The sequence below is a fragment of the Homo sapiens genome, chromosome 3 (genome assembly GCF_000001405.40).
Source record: "Homo sapiens chromosome 3, GRCh38.p14 Primary Assembly".
Taxonomy (NCBI): Eukaryota; Metazoa; Chordata; class Mammalia; order Primates; family Hominidae; genus Homo; species Homo sapiens.
In genome coordinates, this window is record NC_000003.12 from 120173491 (window position 1) to 120194531 (window position 21041).

The 21041-nt window shown below is 42.7% G+C and overlaps 1 protein-coding gene and 1 long non-coding RNA gene across 7 annotated transcripts in view; one reads left to right on the top strand and one right to left on the bottom strand.

Annotated features, from left to right (window-relative positions):
• Window positions 1–11909, top strand: part of LOC105374065 (uncharacterized) — a 39736-nt gene extending 27827 nt beyond the window's left edge. Inside the window, exons 2-3 of the long non-coding RNA XR_924392.3 lie at window positions 10020–10098; window positions 11783–11909. This is a non-coding gene — a long non-coding RNA (uncharacterized LOC105374065). The remainder of the gene's footprint in view (window positions 1–10019; window positions 10099–11782) is intronic.
• The window catches only part of GPR156 (G protein-coupled receptor 156), a 119745-nt gene that overhangs the window by 8013 nt on the left and 90691 nt on the right, over window positions 1–21041 (bottom strand). For 5 of the 6 annotated variants that reach the window (NM_153002.3, XM_017005796.2, XM_017005795.2 and 2 more), the window contains 5 exons: window positions 19805–19934; window positions 19449–19559; window positions 13168–13293; window positions 11809–11904; window positions 7635–7871 (listed from right to left, as the gene is read on the bottom strand). In NM_153002.3, coding sequence (NP_694547.2) covers window positions 7635–7871; window positions 11809–11904; window positions 13168–13293; window positions 19449–19559; window positions 19805–19934 — 700 coding nt within the window. The remainder of the gene's footprint in view (window positions 1–7634; window positions 7872–11808; window positions 11905–13167; window positions 13294–19448; window positions 19560–19804; window positions 19935–21041) is intronic. The other variant, NM_001168271.2, reaches the window with a different exon arrangement.

Below are 21041 nucleotides of genomic sequence, written 5' to 3' on the forward strand. Positions count from 1 at the left end.
TGTTATTTATTTAATTACACATCCAGAAACACACTCTCTCACTCTTTCTCATAAACACCAAGGAATGACACTATCATAGATACACACATGCGCAAGCTATTCTCTCCTTAAAATGTACTTTGCTCTGGAGGGCTCAAAGATGGTAATGACAAAAGGTCCTTACCTTTTGTAATTATACAAAATGTTAAGGTTATATAATTTTTAAAATGCCAAAGGGCTGGGTGCAATGGCTCACTCCTATAATCCCAGCTACTCAGGAGGCTGAAGTGGGAGGATCACTTGAGCTCAAGAGTTTCAGGCTACTGTGAGCTATTGTTGTGATACTGTACTCTAGCCTGGGTGGCAGAGTGAGACCCAATCTTAAAAAAAAAAAACAAAAACCCAAAACACCCTAAAAACAAACACAAATTTCCAAAGGAAGAATAGGACAGGTAGATAAAATAGAACAGCCTTAGCCCATCTGCCTACCCATTGCCAAACTGGTCAAAGAAAACCAGAGCTGAAGTATCTTCTACCACCACATTCTAAAGCCAGAGTTAGGAGCTATCCTGGGGTTAAGCAACCTGAACACTATAAGTTTCAAATGACACTTTCTCGTTGCATGCAGCTATTTAATTATTTTTCATTTGTTCAGTAACAATGTGCTTGCTGCTATTGAAAATTCAGTTCCTTTGGGTGAACTTCTAACCCAAGTCAATAATCAAGGCTCAGAGAGCCTTTGAGGGAAGCCCCCTAGTCACATCAGGATGCTCTAGCTCATCACCCAGTTTCTTTGACAAACTAGGAAAGGCTCAGGAGTGTTGTGTCTAAGCTTACACAGCCACTTAGCAGCAGAACAACAGCTGTAAGCAGGACACTGTGCCATGTCTGTGTCCTCACTCAGTTGATGAAGAGAGAGACTGTTAACGGTGGCAGTCCAGGGAAAGCTCTTCAGGAGAAACTGGTCTTGAGGAACACTCTGCAGAAGCATGGGCTGGTTTAGTTTAACAGGAATGAAGCTGAACATAGAAACAGGAGCCTCTGCCTGAGTCTGTGGGGTACTGCTGACCCACCGAATGACAGTAATGTGAGTGACGCAGGAAGCCACAGTGGGGAAGGCCTCTGTTTTCCTCTCAGGAATCCCCATAACTAAGTGTCCTAGTGATGGACACTGGGGACCCTGGGACCTTGATTCTAGAAATGATGCTGCAGTGTCTATGGGTAGCCTCAAAGGGATCCTGGGATTTCTTTACTCATCCATCAAACATTTGTTAAGCTCCGACCATGGAGTGTAAACCAAATTTTGTAAATCTCAGATAGGATTCTGAATCCTGCCATCAATTTCAATGCCACTGAAATTGATATTATCACCCAAGTCCTCTTGGGTCCTCTGCTGACTCATCATGAGTCCATCATCGCACCAGGAGTCTGTGTGACCTGTGTTGGGTCAGGCCTGGTACCTCCCCTCTCAGATGCCCTTCTTGAAGGCCCCCTCCCCACGAAAGGATGCTCTCAGCTCACCATCCTACTTGGGAGCTACTGGAGCCAACAACACAAGGTCATCTGTGGCCTTGGGTGGATGAATCAGACCTCCTAGGGTTATTCTCCTCACACTGACCCTGGCAGTGCTGCAGTACAGCTTTTCCTTCATCTCCCCCAGCACTCCCAGACTGAGGCCTCTCTGCAGGGCTGGCAGAGGAGCAGCTCAGCACTGGCGTAAGGGCCCTCCCAGGGCTTTTGGTCTTCCTGTCTCTAAATTGGCCAAGTGGAGCCAAGATACCCCTTGATTACTCTAGCCCTTCATTCCTCATTTGTGAAGATACTCCTTAAGGCTCAACCCTTCAGGGTTTCTGGAATCCAGCTATGAATTTCACAATTCAGGGCCTCTCCTCTGCCTTCCTCCAGAAGGACAGGCAGATTCTGGTTTTCTGAGCCTCTGGGCTATGGGGGTGTGGCAGACTGAACAGTGGCTTCTCAAAGATGTTCTCTCTCATCCTAATTCCTGGAGCCTGTGAATATGTGACCTTATGTGGCAAAAGGGACTTTGCAAATGTAATTAAGGATTTCAAGAGGGGTGATTATTCTGGGTTATCCAAGTGGGCCCAATGTAATCACAAGAATCCTTATAGGAGGGAGGGAGGAGAGCCAGAGTTGGAGAAGGAGATGTGACAATGGAAACAGGGGCGAGAGAGAGAAAGATTTGAATCTCTTCTGGCAGATTTGAACCTGGCTGGCTTAGAAGGTGGAGGAGGGGACAATAAGCACAAGAATGCAGACGGCCTCTAGAAGCTGAAAAAGACAAGGAAACAGATTCTCCCCTTGCATCTCTGGAGGGAATACAGACTTCCTGACACCTTAAGTTTAGCCAAATAAGACCTATTTCAGATTTCTGACCTCCAAAATTTTAAGATAATAAACTTGTATTATTTTAAGCCACTAAGCTTGTGGGAATTTGTTATAGCAGCAGTGGGAAACTAATATGGTGGGACTAAATGTCAACTCTTTAACAGGGTCCAGCAGGGCCTCAGAAGCTCCCCAGGTGTGTCTCTCCCCAGTCCTGTCATTCTCCCCCTGGTTTCCATTTGTGCTTCAAAAATAACAAAGACCATGGTGCTCCAAACATACGCTACTCTCTTTCTAGCCTCCCTGCCTCTGGTCATGATGTTATTCCATCAGAAATGCCACCTACTTTCCCCCATCTCTTCAATGAACTCTTATGTTTCCTTCAAGACTGAGCTCGAACACCTCATCTTCCTTCCTTCCTTCCTTCCTACCTCCCTCCTTCCCTCCCTCCCTCTCTCCCTTCCTTCCTTCTTTTTTTTTTTTTTTGAGACAGGGTCTTACTCTGTCTGGAGTGCAGTGGCACAATCACAGCTCACTGCAGCCTCAACCTCCTGGGCTCAGGTGATCCTCCTACTTCAGCCTCCTGGGTAGCTGGGACCAGAGGCATGCACCACCATGCCTGGCTAATTTTTGCTTTATATTTTTTGAGACAGTCTCACTCTGTCTCTGGCTGGAGTGCAATGGCACAATCTCGGCTCACTGCAACCCTTGTCTCCCGGTTTAAGCAACTCTCCTGCCTCAGCCTCCCAAGTAGCTGGATTACAGGCGCCCGCCACCACACCCAGCTAATTTTTTGTATTTTTAGTAGAGACGGGGTTTTACCATGTTGGCCAGGCTGGTCTCAAACTCCTGACTTCACGTGATCTGCCCGCCTTGTCCTCCCAAACTGCTGGAATTACAGGCGTGAGCCACCACGTCTAGCCAATTTTTGCATTTTTTGCAGAGACCAGGTTTCACCATGTTGACCAGGTTGCTCTCGAACTCTTGGGCTCAAGCGATCTACCCGCCTCAGCCTTGAAAAGTGCTGGGATTATAAGCATGAGCCACCATGCCCAGCCTCATTTTCTGAGAAGGTGCCACTGAGTTCTCAGATGGGCTGGGGAAGGCCTTTCTCAAAGCTCTTAACACATGTATGATAATTCCTTTCATGTTTGCTCCCCACTAGACCTAGAGGCGGACTCTGTGTTTAAGTGCATGTACCCAGCAGTTAATAAGTGGATGGATGGATGCATGCATGAACAAATGAAGGAAGCTTTCTTTAAAATGCTCACTGGTCTAGTAGGGGTGCTGGGACATATACATATAATTATAAGGCAGATTAGAAAGGCCTGCACATCTTCAGGGAGGAGCAGATGAAATGCTTTCGGGGTTAGAGGAGAGAGAAAACAATGTCCTACCTTAGGACCTGCCTGCCTCTCTGAGGGAGCAGAGGGCTGGGGGATGGGTCATATTCAGGTCAGAACAGCAGCGGCTGGCTGACTTCTAGTGATGACCTCAGTGCTTGGCATAAACACTCAGGCATTTCCTGAGTGCCTGTGTAAAGAAGGCTTCTTGGGCCCCTTGTCTCCTTAGTAATGTCATCCATTTCACCCGCTCTCTGGCGCTGCCTCGCTGCCCTGGGGGTATCTGTGCCTTTGCTTTCACAAACTCCTCCCATCACAGTCATGTCTGAAAGCTCACTGGCAAGAAGGAACCCCGTTTTGCTGCAACCCCCAACCCTTACCCAGATAGTTCCCCTCACCCACTTTCCCAAATTTACTCAAATTACTTTCCCAAATTATCTTCTAGGAATACACAGTGCAAGTATCACAGGGAGAATCGTTCTTCTACCAAAGACCTCGGAGCCAGAGGGAAACACACAGAAACCTAACAAACCTCAGTTTCTTTTATATTTTGAAAAAGAACTACTTACCATCTAAACCTAAAATACAACAGACTACAAAATATATTTTTTAGTTTCACATCATGGTCAGTTAGTTCCAGAGGAGAAAAAAAAAAAACACAAGGGAGAAAATGGAAGAGGAAAGACAGAGTAAGAGAAAGGAAGCTTAAGAAAGCTAGGAGGGAAAGAGGGAGTGAGATAGAAGGAAAGCAAGGCCAGTGCAGTCCATCCACCCAATTCCTGTACCTCATAATCATTCCATTTCCATTCCCAATTCAACAAATCAAGTGTTTGTTGCTTAGTGAAAACCTGGAAGGCAGATTTCAAGCAGCACTTCATTCTGCATTTTTGTGTGTAGAGTACCCAGATGTCACAATTGTCCTAGCTGCTGAGGACTCAAACACCAGGCAAAGGGGAAGTGATGTGGCTGAGGCTTACGATGCAAGGGGGCAGTGGTGAGAGGTGAGGATGGAGAGAGGAGCAGTAAGCAGGGCGCCATCATGGAGATTGCCAATTCATTCAGTTTTCTGACCAAGGCTTTGTTTGTTCAGAAACATTTTCCTCTGATAGCTCTTTGATAATGACTTCTGCCCCAAATTATTTTGTTCTCTTTCAGAGACTCCTATCAGCTCTCAATTGTATTCCTAGATGTTTTCCATATTTTATTTTTTTCTTTTTATTTTATTTTTTGAGACAGATTTTCGCTCTTGTTGCCCAGGCTGGAGTGCAATGGCGTGATCTTGGCTCACTGCAACCTCTGCCTCCTGGGTTCAGGCGATTCTCCTGCCTCAGTCTCCCTAGTAGCTGGGATTACAGATGGATGCCACAACGCCCAGCTAATTTTTGTATTTTTAGTAGAGATGGGGTTTCACCATGTTGGTCAGGCTGGTTTCGAACTCCTGACCTCAGGTGATCCGCTCACATCGGCCTCCCAAAATGCTGGGATTACAGGCATGAGGTACTGCATCTGGCCATTTTCCATATTTTCTTATCTAGTCTCTCATTTGTTTCCTTATTTTCTGTTTCCTTAAAGTAATTCACTAATTCAATATTTTGTAGTGTCTAATTGCCCAGTCAATGCTTCTATTGGGATTTTAAATTTAATACCATATTTTTAATCCTTATTCAATATTTTATTAAGATTAGCTTTTTTTCATGATAGTTTGCTTTAGTTGAGAAGAGACAATATCCTTTGAATTCTATTGACAAGTCCGGTATCTTCTAAACACTTCTACTCCAGAGGAAGGCAGCTTCTCTAAATCTTTAGACATTTGTAGTCCTCTTCTTGTGAACTGCAGATTCCCTTCATAGATCATTTCCTCCAGAATTTATAATCTTACATGGAAAGAGCTGTATCTTCCTAGTATTATAACTATATTCTCTTAGTCTTTTCCTTATGTTCACAAGAGAGCTGCCATAGCTCTAGGAATCACATACATTCAAGGCAGGAAGAAGGTAAAAAGGGTGATGTTAGCCATGCTTATAACCTTTTTCAGGAAAGCAAAAGCTTTCTCAGAAGCTTCTCAGAAAACCTCTAGTGTTCAAAATGGTGTCATATAGGCACTCCTATCTCTATGGGAAGCTGGCAAAAGAAGAGTCTAGCTGTTGCTGTCTCTATAGTGCAGGCAAGCAAGGAAGAAAGGGGTTAGCAGCTCTGTTGCCCAGGCTGGAGGGCAGTGGCGCAATCTCGGCTCACTGCAACCTCTGCCTCCCGGGTTCAAGTGATTTTCCTGCCTCAGCCTCCCGAGTAGCTGGGATTATAGGCGTGCACCACCATGCCCAGCTAATTTTCATATTTTTAGTAGAGACAGAGTTTCACCATGTTGGCCAGGCTGGTCTCGAACTCCTAACCTCAAGTGATACGCCTACCTCAGCCTCACCAAGTGCTGGGATTACAGGTGTGAGCCACTGTGCCTGGCCAGAGTTTACCCTTAAAGGGTACTTATTTCTACAAAAACTCCTCCTTTTCCTCTGCCAGTAATCAGTCAACCAGGCCTCTCCGCCCTGACAGTCAACAGGTAGGCTGCTGTCAGGCAGGGCTTGCTTGTTTATGGAATCAGGACTGCCTTGTACCCTTCAGCACCAGTTCTCTGCATTGTTGATCGCTACCAATCCAACAATATTGGCTGCAGGGCCTAAGGGGTGGGCTTCCCAAAAGGCACCTGCCTACCCTTACCCCTGCCCACCCACCCCGCCCCCGCCCCCGGTCTCCCAGGGAGAAACAGTCCTTGCTTCTCAGAGCCCATTTCTGCCTCATCCCAGACAAACAAGCCTCAGCTCTAAATGGCTTCCTTCATTCCAGTTTTTACGGCATTAAGATTTGGCAAAAATTCCTCCAGTTTCTGGCACAGAGGCAATAGCCATCCATCGTTTCTAGTGCTGCTGCTGCAGATTTTTCCATATTTATGTATTCTGTTGAGTACTGTAATGAGGATTTGTGATAGAGAAGAATCGTAACAGGGCTATGCCCATGTCATACCATCATGACCCAAAGTGCACTCTTCCCTTTCACAAATACACTGTAACGTGCCATCAGCCAACACTTACATTATCAGTTAGCTCCATCATGAGGAATTAGTTTACAGTCAACTGGAAGTTGCAATGGGAATCAGGACAGGGTCTTGAAGGAGGAGTGGGATGAGGGAGGTCTCAGAGGGAAGAAAAGGAGAACTAGGAGGGAAACAAGAAAGTACCTAGTGCCAAGTTCATTAACCTAGATATATGTGGCTTGATGGTCCCCAGGGTGTAGCATGAACAATCCCACATCCCCTTGCTTTCTGAGCCTAGGATTCCTTCTCTGTTCCCTCTGACTACCTTTCTTCTTTGCTATCTGGCTATTTCTGCTTCTGTCTTCCTCCCTCATTTGATTTTTTAAAATCCCCATAATATGAAACATATTTTTATTTAGTTTCTACCTCTCCTTATTGTAAAAAGCAGAGAAATGTTCTGTATTTTCCTCCAATAAAAAGAAAGAGAAAGCACTTTAAATCATAAAGTTCCATCTAAATGGATTTTTTCCTGTGAGTCTGCAATCCCCAATTGGAAAAATATAAAGGTTCCTTGCTCCCAGGCTAGTGAAAGAAATAGTAATAACATGATGGAAATGAGGGGAGGATGGGGAACGAGTGCAGCAGACCAGAGGGTGGATGGAAAAGCAGGACTGCGAGGCAGCCCCCCCAAGGGACAGGCACCACAGGTGTGGAAGAGTGCAAACAGGGGCTGCCACCACTGCTTGGACCACTCTGCCTTGTCCCCCTTGCTGACCAGGACAGTGAGAAAGGACAAAGGCAACCAGCTCACTAGGATCCCCTGTCTGCTTTCTGACTCTCCAATAAGTGGCATGGAAAGGTATCAGTAGAAAACAAAATGAGCAATTTGTCAGTGAAAAACTCTAGAGTGACTAAGAGGACCAGCCCTGCAAAATCCATACCTGGGGAATGAAGATGAAGCAGTTGATTGTAGTTGTACAAACAAAGATCCCTCCAGATGTGAGTCCAAAGACCAGGTTGGGCCAGGAATGCAAGTATCTGGTGACTACAAAAAGCAGCCCAGCAGCCAGTACAAGGAGGTTGACCCCCACCATGATGGTTAAGGACTGATTCACAGGAGGGGAGCTGACATGGCCAGTCAGGCCAGCCAGGTAGGCACCATACAGCAGGAGCAGACCCTGGGGGGTGAAGAGGTGACGGAGGCTCAGAGAAGTGGAACAAGAGGTCAATGAGCAGTAGGTTTGCAACCAATTTCCTCATCTGTAAAATTAGGATAATAATACCTACCTTAAGGACTGCTATGAGGATTTACTAAGATATCACATAAGAAAACCCTCAGGGCAGCCCCTTATACCTACTAGATACTTAATAAATGTTATTTTCCTCTCCTTTGCTGAGAATTAGTTTATCAGAAGTCAGCAAGTCAGCCATTAAATAAGACTCTTCTGAGACAAGGCATAGGACAGGATCATGTGGGTGGGTTAGTATCCCTACAGAAAGAGCTGTTGGGCACTTGGAGGACAGTGGGCCCACAGAACCTCTGATAGTGAGTGCTACCACAGCCATTGTCTGGTGTTGCCCTGCTCAAAGCTGAGGGTGCACAGGGAAGCTGAAAGTGACCTCTGATCTGCTTGTCAAGTCATGTGCCACAGCCAGGGTAGTGCCCATAGGAAGGGGCTCTTTTCTCTAATTTGCCCAAAGGCACCATCTGCTTGCCAAGCCTTGCACCTGCAAGACTGCATCTGACTAGAAGGGATGGGCCTTCAAAAAATTTACACAAAGGATCTCTACAGGCTAGCAGCGGCTCCATGCCAGTGAGTGTTTATGGGAGATGAAGGGTAAAAAAAGGGGAGAACAAAGGCAGGCTGGGACCCAGGCAAGACTGTGGGGCAGGCACAGACAGCGAAAGCTCCATCTATAGTTCTCACCCTTTTTGTGACATTTCTTGCTCCCCTACAAGGAACCCAGGGCCCTATTCTGTTCTCTTTCCTATGAATATAAACCTGCTCTCAGAGTTGTCATTTGTACTAAGGAGAAAATAACTCATAGCACCTTAAAGTGCTGCCCCCTCCACAGGAGCTGCATTCATACAGAAATCAAAGCTTTAGTCAATAATACATAACACATAGATTCAATTAGGTTCACCTTTCTGACTATGTGTGCAGTGCCATAGTACGTGTAGGGCAGAAAATAGTGACACAAAGAAGTCATGGTCCTGGCTTTTAACACTTGGTCTGGTAGGTAGATTTAAGGTAAGCACAAAAATCTTCTTTTTTTTTTTTTTTGAGATGGAGTTTCGCTCTTGTTGCCCAGGCTGAAGTGCAATGGCATGATCTCTGCTCACTGCAACCTCCGTCTCCCGGGTTCAAGCGATTCTCCTGTCTCAGCCCCCGAGTAGCTGGGATTACAGGCTTGTGCCACCATGCTGAGCTAATTTTGTATTTTTAGTAGAGATGGGGTTTCACCATGTTGGTCAGGCTGGTCTCAAACTCCTGACCTCAGGTGATCCAACCGCCTTAGCCTCCCAAAGTGCTGGGATTACCGGCATGAGCCACTGCGCCCAGCCTAAAAATGTTCATGTTGATGACTCAGAACGTGAAGATGCCATGGGAGACGAGGTGGGGGTGGGACTGTGGGATTCAGAGGGAGAACTAATAATGAAAATAAAGTCAGGTATCAGCAGGACACCTGCTGGTGACCCTCAAATCATATGACGTGGTCAACTCCACCTTCATGGGTGACACTAAAGAACATATTTTGGAGAACTGGCTGTGCCAGAAGGGAAGGAGTCAGCATGGAAGAGATACCTTCCAGGTTCCCCTAATGCCCAGTGTCCCAAATGGGGCCTGAAGGCCAAATGTGGCCACCCTGAGATCTTCAATGACTAGAGGACACATAAGTCAGGAGACCAGGGAAGCCCAACTTTTGGGTAACTGACGCCATCAGGTGGTATTCAGCAGAGTTGGATCATTGCTAATTTAATAAAAGGCAAATGAAATTAATTCTGTGATTTTGAAATGTTCAGATATGATTCCACTAAAAGTTTTTAATTCCATTAAAATTCTTGTTAAAGGGGAAATGGGTGTGAATCAAGTGTCTATACATTCCTGGCTGGTGTCTGAGTGAGTCATATTTGATCCTTGCATATCACTGGCCTTAACTGCTGAGAAGTGTGGGGTAGGGGGCAGTTGACAGAGAGCAGGGGTCCTAGGACTCAATGTGGAGATTGGGGTCCTCCTGAGGAGCTTCTCACTGACCAGGGAGTCTATGGGGTCTGGCTCAGTAAGTTTCCTGATGCTCCATCCTTTTCCTTCTTTTTCCTACAGAAAGATATTACAGTAAAATAGAATGGAAATGAGAGTATATAAAAGGCAATGGAGAAAATAAATCAAATTGAGTCACAAAGTAAGTAGCTATGGGGGAAGTGCTGGCTTTCTGGGCTAGGGAGGACACACTCTTCTACAGGGACTCAAGGAACCAACAGAGGCAATGTATTTTCCAGAAGTGTCTAGGGGGCAGTGGAAGAATAGTAATAATAATATCTAACATTTATTGAGCTCTTGCTATGGACCAGGAGCGGCTGAAAACTCTTAACATGCATTAACTCTTTAGAGACAGAACAGTTCTGAGGGGATATTATCATCATCCGCATTTTAAAATTTGGAAACTGAGGCTCAGAGAGGTTAAATGAGGCTCAGGGTTGGCTAGCCAGGGGCGGAGTCAGATTCAAACCCTGATCTGTCACAACTAAAGCTCCTTTTTTAACCATTAGCAAGATTCTGGAGATCAAGAGCTGTTCACTTCCTAGAGTCTTCTTTTAAAAAATATTTCTGTCAAAGTAATATTTGCACATAGTTAAAAAGGAATGTTTCCCTGCCCTAGTCTGGCCTACCCCTAAACCTGTTCCTCACAAGCAACAACTTCTAATACTTTCTTAGTGGTGAAGTGGGTAAAGTTTACCCCCCCTTTTTTTTTTTATTGAGATAGAGTCTCGCTCTGTTGCCCAGGATGGAGTGCAGTGGCGCAATCTTGGCTCACTGTAACCTCTGCCTCCCAGGTTCAAGTGATTCTCCTGCCTCAAGCCTCCCAAGTAGCTGGGATTATAGGTGCATACCACCACACCCAGCTAATTTCTATATTTTTAGTAGAGGCAGAGTTTCACCATGTTTGGCCAGGCTGGTCTCGAACTCCTGACCTTAAGTGATCCACCCACCTCAGCCTCCCAAAGTGCTGGGATTACAGGTGTGAGCCACTGTGCCCGGCCAGAGTTTACCCTTAAAGGGTACTTATTTCTACAAAAACTCCTCCTTTTCCTCTGCCAGTAATCAGTCAACCAGAACTCTCTGCCCTGATAGTCAACAGGTAGTCTGCTGTCAGGCAGGACTTGCTTGTTTATGGAATCAGGACTGCCCTGTACCCCTCAGCACCAGTTCTCTGTCTCCCTAAGCTGAAAACCAGCTGTCCTGTTCTGAGGACCATCCTCAGTGCTCCATGCAGGTATCCTCTACCTTCTGGAAATAATATTCTACTTTTGCCCATCTAACAGAGACAAATGAGTCTAATGGTGAGAGATTTGGGGCAGTATGGGAGACACTGTGAGACAGGTGGAACCCCTCAAAGGGCCCTGTGAATGCTGCCATCTGTCTCAGAGCCAGTCTTGCTTCCAACCAGAGGGAGAAAGTCAGGTGGGTGAAAGGCACCAGGACACCTTCGCCCAAATCTTGAAGAAAACACAAGAGACATAATAAGGGCACTTAGGAGAACAAATAAAGCTGGGTCAAATTTCTCCTCATAATTCCTCTTGCAGGGAAGATGAAGGGAAAACTGGTATTGTCAAATCAATTAAGAAACCAGACCAATAAATAGGAGAAACAGTGGGTGAATTCCAGATGATTTGGGGGAGGACTGAATGAGGGAGTCTAAAGAGTTGGAGGGTCTCCCCCAAACAAATACAAATAGAAAAGTAAAAACAGTCATGGCTTTGAAGTTTATGCATCAACAGAGGTCTCCTCTGAGTTCAAGATTCTTTGCAGACATCACCTCGTTAATTCCTGTAATTCCCTCTTCATATCCATTTTCTTGGTGACAGAGACCATATCAGATGTGGTTACCAACCTTGCATCCCCAAATGAGAGCAATCCAAACATCGGAATACCGGGAAGCACAGAAGTGGGTGCTGGTCGAAGTGCAGGACACGTCTTTCCCTGTCACCTAGAAGGGACACAGAGTCAGAACTGGAGGTGCCCACAATTACCAGGAACACAAAGCAGATCTTTGTGAACATGCTGGAGCATGAATTCTTCTAGAGTACATGATACCCCCTCAGTATGTAAAAACTGCAGCATTTAGGTGACTCCACTAGAACCTAAATGAGAGTGACTACGTGTTAGGAGAAGAGATGATAAAGTTGGGCTAACAGCTGTGTGCTTGGTGACACTAGGGCTTACCCCTCATTTATGTGCTTTGCTACCCCAATCAAATTAGTGCCTCAACAAAACTATAAACTATTTCATTATGCACCTGCTTTTTGCAAATCATTGAATCCTTAAACATTAATCTTGCAGTGTCACGATTCCATGATTCCACTGTATTCCTCAGCCCCTCGTGAGGCTGGAGATATATAATAATTTTTTTTTTTTTTTGGCAGGGTCTCACTCTGTCACCCAGGCTGGAGTGCAGTGGTGCAATCTCAGCTCACTGCAACCTCTGCTTCCTGGGTTCAAGAGATTCTCCTGCCTCAGCTTCCCAAGTAGCTGGGATTACAGGCATGTGCCACCACGCCTGGCTAATTTTTGTATTTTTGGTAGAGACATGGTTTCATCATGTTGGCCAGGCTGGTCTCAAACTCCTCACCTCAAGTGAGCTACCTGCCTCAGCCTCCCAAAATGCTGGGATTACAGGCGTGAGCCACCGTGCCCGGCCATACTTCTTGTTAATTGAATAGTATGTACTGGACATGGTTAAGTCTTTTACCTACATTGTTTCATTTAATCTTTGCCACAACCCTATGAGATAGGTAGTATTATTATCTCAATTTTACCAATTAGGAAACAGACTTAGAGAGGTTACATAACTTTCCCAAGGTCACACAACTGGTGAGCTTGGTAGAGCTGGGATTTGAACCAGGGTTGACTGACTCCAAAGGCCACCTTAAACTACTACCTCCACCTCTACAATTAGGGGAAGGTAACTGCCGATAGCTGAAAGTTTTAATTATTGATAATGTGGAAGTGGCAGAACTGCCAGGCAGATTCCAGCATGCTGATATCTCATTGTATGCCCACAAAGAGACACTCGGGCAGGAGGAGCAGTGGGAGTGGCAGCAGACTAGGGCAAGAATTACATGGAAGCCACAACTCCTGACTCTCCCTCCTCTTGGAGTCCTTTATCTTCTTGTTGCAAGGATGACTCCTGTGTATCCACAGAGGTCAGTCCAGTTTGGGGATGAGATTCTCTAGGGATTTGGCCCCTCACCGTCATACTGACACTGAGAATCTGGAGGCACTGGATGGGATCAGTCAGCACCCACGTCATGAGCAGGATCACATCAGCCATCAACAGGGCTGCCACCAACCCCAGCAACTGCAGGTCTTTGATAATCTGCAAAAGAGTCAAGGTCAAAACTTCTCCTTGTTGACTGGCTAAATGACAGAGGGGCTAGAGTATCCCATGTGCTCTCAGCTATATGCTCCAAGGTCAGCCCTCCCAAGGAGCTTCAAATGTAGCTATCAAAAATGAAACAGACACCAAACATTTACAATGACTTCTATGCTGATATCATTATTAGCATTACACATTTCCATTTGTTTAACTTCTTCATATCCTACCTTTTCCCACAAAGGACTCAAGGTGTTTTATAAAATAAATAAACTATTATTTCTATATGTTTATATAAGCACATAGATATGAATGTCACACCACAATGTTAATAACTATTAACTGAGAGGGTGGGACTCAGAGATGCAGGAAGAATCATTAGCATTTTCATTATATACATATGAATTACAGATTGACTTATGATCTTGACTTATGATGGGGTTATGTCCGGATAAACCCATCATAAGTTGAAAATATCATAAGTCAAAAATGCATTTAATACACCTAGGCTACCAAACATTGCAGCTTAACCTAGCCTACCTTTAATGTGCTCAGAACACTTATATTAGCCTACACCTGGGCAAAATCATCTAAAACAAAGCTTAATTTAATTTATAATGAAGTGTTGAATATCTCATAAAATGTATTGACTACTGTGCTGAAAGTGAAAAACAGAGTGGTTGTATGGGTATTTTAAGTATGGTTTCTACTGAATGTGGATTGCTTTCACACCATTGTAAAATAGAAAAACTGTAAGTTGAACTGTTTTATGTCAGGGACCATCCGTATTTGACTTAGGATGAAGAGAATGTGTTAGTTTGTGACTACAAAAATAAAATTGAGAAAAATATATACTGTGATAGGATTAAAATATTTAACAACCGGGAAGAGAGAAAATAAAGGGAATTATGATGAAGGCTCAGATGAAGAGTGTATATATAATAGCATTTACTAATTGGAGCAGAAGAAATGTGGATCTGAGCTTTTGACAACCAGTGAAAAGAAGCACAACCAGTTACGTGATTCAAGGTGTTTGTAAAATTAAAAACAAACCAATTGCCTAATCAAACTGTTCAAAACCAGTGATAAAGGGAAACTACTCAAAGCAAGCAGTGAAGAAAGACACATTTTGTGTAGACATAAAATAAACCTGACACTTCTCATCAGATACAAGGCCAAGTGAGAAGACAGTGCAGGAACATCTTGAAAGTACTAGAAGAAGAAAAGAAAATTTCAGTCTAGAATTCTATACTCAGTAATATATCTTTCAGAAATGAAGGCAAAATAAAGACTTTTTCAGATAATCAAAAGCTGAAAGAATTCAGTAGTAGCACACCCACACTGGAATGTTAGATATCCTTCAGGCAAAGGAAAATAATATGAGATAAAAATGTGGATCTATACAGGAAATTAAGAACACTGGAAATGGTAACTAAACAGAAAAATACATGATTAGTTTTCATTATTTAAATATCATTAAAGAAAATAACAAAATTCAGCATGTTGTCCTGGGTCTTAAAAATAAAAAAATAAAATATTTTTAAAGATAATTGATTTATTAAACAAAAGAATTGCATGGGGCCTATAACATGTAACAGCAAAGATAGGAATGGGGATAAAAGGAAGCATACTATTGTAAGGTACTTATACATGAGTGCCAATTATGCTATTCTATAGAAATTATTCCTGAAATTGAAAAGAAGGGAATAGTTCCCAACTCATTTTATAAAGCCAACATTACCCTGATACCAAAACTAGAAAAATATATTACAAGGCAACCACAGAGCAATATGTATTAAAAACATGAATGTACAAATTCTAAACAAAGTTTTTATAAAACTGAGTCCAACAATATATGAAGAGGATAATGTAGCATGACCAAATGAAGCTAATCCCAGGGATGGAAGGTTGGTTTGACACCCTAAATCATTTAACATATGGGGAGAGAAAGAGATAATGAGCAGAAGCATAGAGGATTTTTAGGGCAGTAAAACTACTCTGTATGATACTGTAATGGTAGATACATGTCATTGCACATTTGTCCAGACCCATAAAATGTACAACACCAAAAGTGAACCCTAATGTCAAGTACAGACTCTGGGTGATAATGACGTATTAATGTAGTTCCATCAATTGTAATAAGTATATACTCTGATGGGGAATATTGATAATGGGAGAGGCTATGCATGTGTGGGGAAAGACTGTATATGTAAAACCTCTGTACCTTCTGCTCAATTTTTATGTTAACTTAAAACTACTCTAAAAAATAAAGTCTATTGTGTAAGGGTTTAAAAAAAAAACCATTTAACATAATCCACCATGCGAATAAACTAAGAAAAGAAAAACTGTATGATCATCTCAATAGACCCAGAAAAAGCTTTTGACAAAACCCAACATCAGTTCTTGATTAAAACTCTCAGCAAAATAAGAATAGAATAGTACTGCCCCAACTGGATAAATGGAATTTACAATAAAACTACTGCTAATATCATTCTTAGTTTTGACTGTTTTCCCCATAGGATCAAGAATAACAAATATATCTGCTCTCACCACTTCTATTCAGATTGTACTATTGTATCTAGCCAGTGCAATCAGACAAGAGATTGGAAATAAATTATCTTTATTCACTGCTGATATGATCATCTTTGTAGAAAATCTGATAGACTCTATAAAAAAGCTGCTAGAACTAACATGTAGTTTAGCAAGGTTGCAGTATACAAGCTAAGCATATAAAAATTAATTATATTTCTGTGGCCAGGCATGGTGGCTAATGCCTGTAATCCCAGAACTTCGGGAGGCCAAGGAAGGCAGATCATCTGAGGTTGGGAGTTTGAGACCAACCTGGCCAAAACGGTAAAACCTCATCTCTACTAAAAATACAAAAACTAACCAGGTGTGGTAGCAGGCACCTGTAATCCTAGCTACTTGGGAGGCTGAGGTAGGAGAATTGCTTGAACCCGGGAGGCGGAGGTTGCGGTAAGCCGAGATCGCACCACTGCACTCCAGCCTAAGCGACAGAGTGAGACTCCATCTCAAAAAAAAATAATAATAATAATTATATTTCTATTTATTAGCAACAAACAACTGGAAAGTGAAATTTAAAAAAATAGTAACATATAAAATAGCATAAAAATATAAAATCCCTAGAAATAAGTTTGATGAAAGATGTGAAAGAGCAATATTGAAAAGTACAAAAAAATGATGGGAAAAATTAAAGACCTAAATAAATGGGTTCATGGGTCAAAGGACACAACATTAGTAAGAAGCCAATTCTCCATAATTTGATCTATTAGATTCAACATAATCCCAAAAGAATTTTTGTAGAAATCAGTGAACTGATTCAAAAATTCACATGGGCATTCAAAGGACCCAGATTAGCCAAAACAGCATTGAAAGAGAAGAAGAAAGTCAAAGAACTAATACTACCTGATTTCAAGATTTAGTATAAAGCTACAGTAATCAGGGTAATATGGCATTGCTGTTGAGATAGACACATCAGTGAGACAGAATGGAGGGTCCAGAAATAGATCTACACACTTATGGACAACTGATTTAACAAAGGCACAAAGGTAATTCAGTGAAGAAAGGACAATCTTTTCAACAAATGATGTTGGAATAATCAAATGTCTATATGTAAAAAACTAAAATTCAATCAATACATCATACCATATACCGATCATAGGCCTAAATGTCAAAGCTAAAACTCTAAAATTTCTGGAAGTAAACACATGAGAAAACCTTTTGGGGCCTTAAGTTAGGCAAAAATTTCTTAAATATAATACCAAAAACATGATCCATAAAAGAACACATTGGGGCCGGGTGTGGTGGCTCATGCCTGTAATCCTGGAACTTTGGGAGGCTGAGGCTGGTGAATCACTTGAGGCCAGGAGTTTGAGACCAGCCTGGCCAACATGGTAAAGCCCCGTCTCTACTAAAAATACAAAAACAAACAAACAAATAAACAAGAAACCTAAAAACAAAGAACACATTGGTAAATTCAACTTCATCAGAATGAGAAATGTCTTATCTTTGAAAGACATTCTGAAGTAAATGAAAGTAAAAGGAACAAAAGAACAAACTGGAAGAAAATCTTTGCAAATCATACATCTGATAAAGGGTTTGTATCCAGAATATAAAAAGAACTCACAAAACTCAATAATAAGACAACAAAAAATCCAATTTAAAAATGAGTGAGGCTGGGTGTGGTGGCTCATGCCTATAATCCCAGCACTTTGGGAGGCCAAGGTAGGCGGATCACGAGGTCAGGAGTTCGAGACCAGCCTGGTCAACATGATGAAACCCCATCTCTACTAAAAATACAAAAATTAGCCGGGTGTGCTGGTGGGTGCCTGTAATCCCAGCTACTTGGGAGGCTGAGGCAGGAGAATTGCTGGAAAGCAGAAGGCAGAGGTTGCAGTGAGCCAAGATCACACCACTGCACTCCGGCCTGGGCGAAAGAATGAAACTCTGTCTCAGAAAAAAAAAAAAAATGGGTGGAAGATTTGAACAGAAAGTTTGCCAAAGAAGGTGTATGGATGGCAAATAAGCAAGTGAAGAAATGCTCAATACTGCATTAGAGAAATGCAAATTTGAAAGCATAATGAGATACTACCACACATACCTATTAGAATGCCTAAAATGAAAAAGACTGATCAAATCAAATGTTGCCAAGAATGTGGAGGAAATGGACTCTCATACATTGCTGGTGGAAATGCAGAATGGTACAACCACTTCGAAAAACAGTCTGACTGTTACTTAAAAAGTTAAATATACACTTACCATATGATCCAACCATACTCTTAGGTTTTCACCCAAGAGAAATAAAAGCCTATGTCTAAACAAAGACTTTGTACACGAATGTTCATAGCAGCTTTAATTTTAATCGCCACAACTGGCGATAACCCAAACATCCATCTACAGATAAGCAAATTGTGTCTATGCATTGTAATACTACTCAGCAATAACAAAGAAATAACTATTGATGCACACAACATAGATAAATAACTATAATATTCATAAAAACAATTATGTGAGTAAAATAAGCCAGAGAAAACAGAGTCCATACTGCATGGTTCCATTTATGTAAAACTCTGGAAAATGCAAACTCATCTACAGTGACAGCAAATCAATGATTTTCTGAGGATAGGAACAAGGGATATAAGGATTGGACAGGGGAGGGAGATAACAAAGGGTTGCAAGGAAGCTTTTGAAGATGAGGGATATGTTCATTATGCACCATGTTTCTTGGTTGTATATCCATGTCACAATTTATCAAATCATATGCTTTAAATATGTGCAGTTCACTGCATGTCAGTTATACTTCAGTAAAGCTGTTTAAAAAAGAAATTGGTGTTCTTGAGGGATGAATGCAGTTTTTGTCCTTTTAGGCAATCTTCTTCATAGGTATGGTTGCTCACAGCTGAGCTTTTGGTAAGTATGCACCATGATTCAATAACATTTGCTAAAATAAATTCCCATCATTCCAGAGAAGTAAACACCAACTGAATGATATATTGGGTCTGGGCAGGGCCTATACCCAATGAGGATAATGGTCAGGAATTGAGGTTTGAGCAGTCTCATCAGACAACCTGATAAAATGGGGAAATGTGGTTAAGTTGATGACTGATACCAGGGACATGTCGGTGATCTGGCTGCTACATAACTTAGAGTTGATTCTATCTGCTCTTCCTTGCTCACTGCTTTGGGCACATCCTTCTCAGTACAGAGAACTGCCTTCTACATAGAAAAGAACTGGACTCCAGGGAAGGAAATAACTACTTACTTGCTATAGTTTCTCTGTAATCACTCTTCCTCCCTTCACTTCCAGCTCGCACCTGTGCCAAACAACAGTCTCTGGGTATCTTGTTCTGCCTCACACTGGTGCCAGGTATTGGCCAGCTCACATGTCCCCACAGGGCCTGGGGTACATAGGAACCAGAGCCCACGTTTGAAGCCCTATCTTCAACAGCACTGATCCACAGCCTTCCAGACCTGAGGCCTTATGAGGCTGCATGATTCCAGGGTTTGGAATGAGAAACAGGAACTTTGGATGTCCTGAAAGGGGCTAGGCTCAGTAATGTGCATGAGCTTCTCTAGCTGTTAACCAATGCTGAAGCTACCATCTACAGTCAAGCATTGTGTACTTGCTGCCTACTCACCACTCTCTTGTCCGGGACCCTTTGGGTAAACACCTTGTAGAGTCGCCAGCTCTTTCCCAGAATGGGGCCAAACACAAGGGAGGTCCCAATGCACAGCATGGACAGTCTTGTCTATGGGTGGAAGGGGACAGAAGAGTCACAAGAGGAACCTTTATCAGTTCTCCACACACTCTGATCTGTAGGGTCTGGGTCCCACAGAGCGCACGAGGTACAGAGTGAACCTCACCAAGTGTTCTGGGATTCCCTCGAAAAGTGCCCACTCCAAGGATAAAGGAAACCACCACCCACGGGAGCAGCTGGTTTAAAAAAATAATCAAAACTTTATAGTCAAAACCAAATTTTAAAACTTCACCTACCTGAATGAGAGTTTCCATTGAGCTCCCCACTAAAACATCCTGAATCCCAAAGAGGTAAGCGCTACTGTAAGTGAGACAACTGCCCAGTAAGGTCACAATGTTCAGATTGGGACTGGACATCTTCACAATCCTAGAGGGGATCAGGAAGAAAGACACTTACAGCCATGACCTTTTGCCTTGGGGCCAAAGACCTACGAGACCAAAGCTTCCTCACCAGCATAATCTCCAGTGCAGCCTTGGAGTGAAGGACCACTGGGAAGAAACATCTTTACAGCCCTGTGAAAACTTATAATTTCTTTAAATTTATTTTCACAAAGAACTAAACTCTGGCACTTATTCCTTGTATAACTCCCAAGTCTTTTAAAAGAAGGATGACTACCTACAAACAGGTGGTATTGGAGAAGAGTTGGGATTTTATGCATGAAGTTTATGGTTGCTAGGGGATTGCTATGTGCAGCTTAGTGAATAAATAACCAGCAGGTAGATATCCACAGAGTTTGGAGCCCTTAGAGGTTTTTTTTTTTTCATATACTATTTACTTTATTTGATATGTAAACCATTTTCCTCTACTTTTCCAAGAAAGAAAGAGGATAAAGGGATTAGAAGCAGGAAATTGGGGAAAGGCCTTTTCTCAAGTATTAATAGTTTTAGATGAGATTGGAGACAAATTTGAAAGTTAGAGGGAGATGTAAATAATCAGGGTTTCAGACAAATACCCTGGGCACCAACAGAAGTTCAGGATGTGAACTGGTTAACCTAAGGGCAATGCCAGGCTCACACTGGACAGTGACTGATACTAATTAATTACAAGTAACAAGAAGGAAAGACATTGTATTTAAGAATTGTAATCTAAATAGTGTATATAAATGCAACATTTCTACTAATAGTCATTTGATAATTATACTTTGTTATACTTTTATTTTTAAATCATAACTAAGGAGGAGAGCATTCTTACCTATGTCTCTTGATGACATGGCAGACTGCCTTAAAGGCAGGGCCAAGGCAAAACTATCCACTTAGTGAAGCTTGTTCTAACCACAGGCAAAGCACCTAGGAGGCACTAAACAGTTTGGCAGTGCTGGATTTGCAAGCATCATAACCGCCAGGAGCACGGCTTAGTTACTTTGTGTCTGACATTGTAATACATCCATACACACAAGAACACCAAACCACTGTCCCAGGCCCCAGGTACTGTCAGCATAGGCCAGTGAATCCAGTTGAGCTTAGCCTTGTTTTG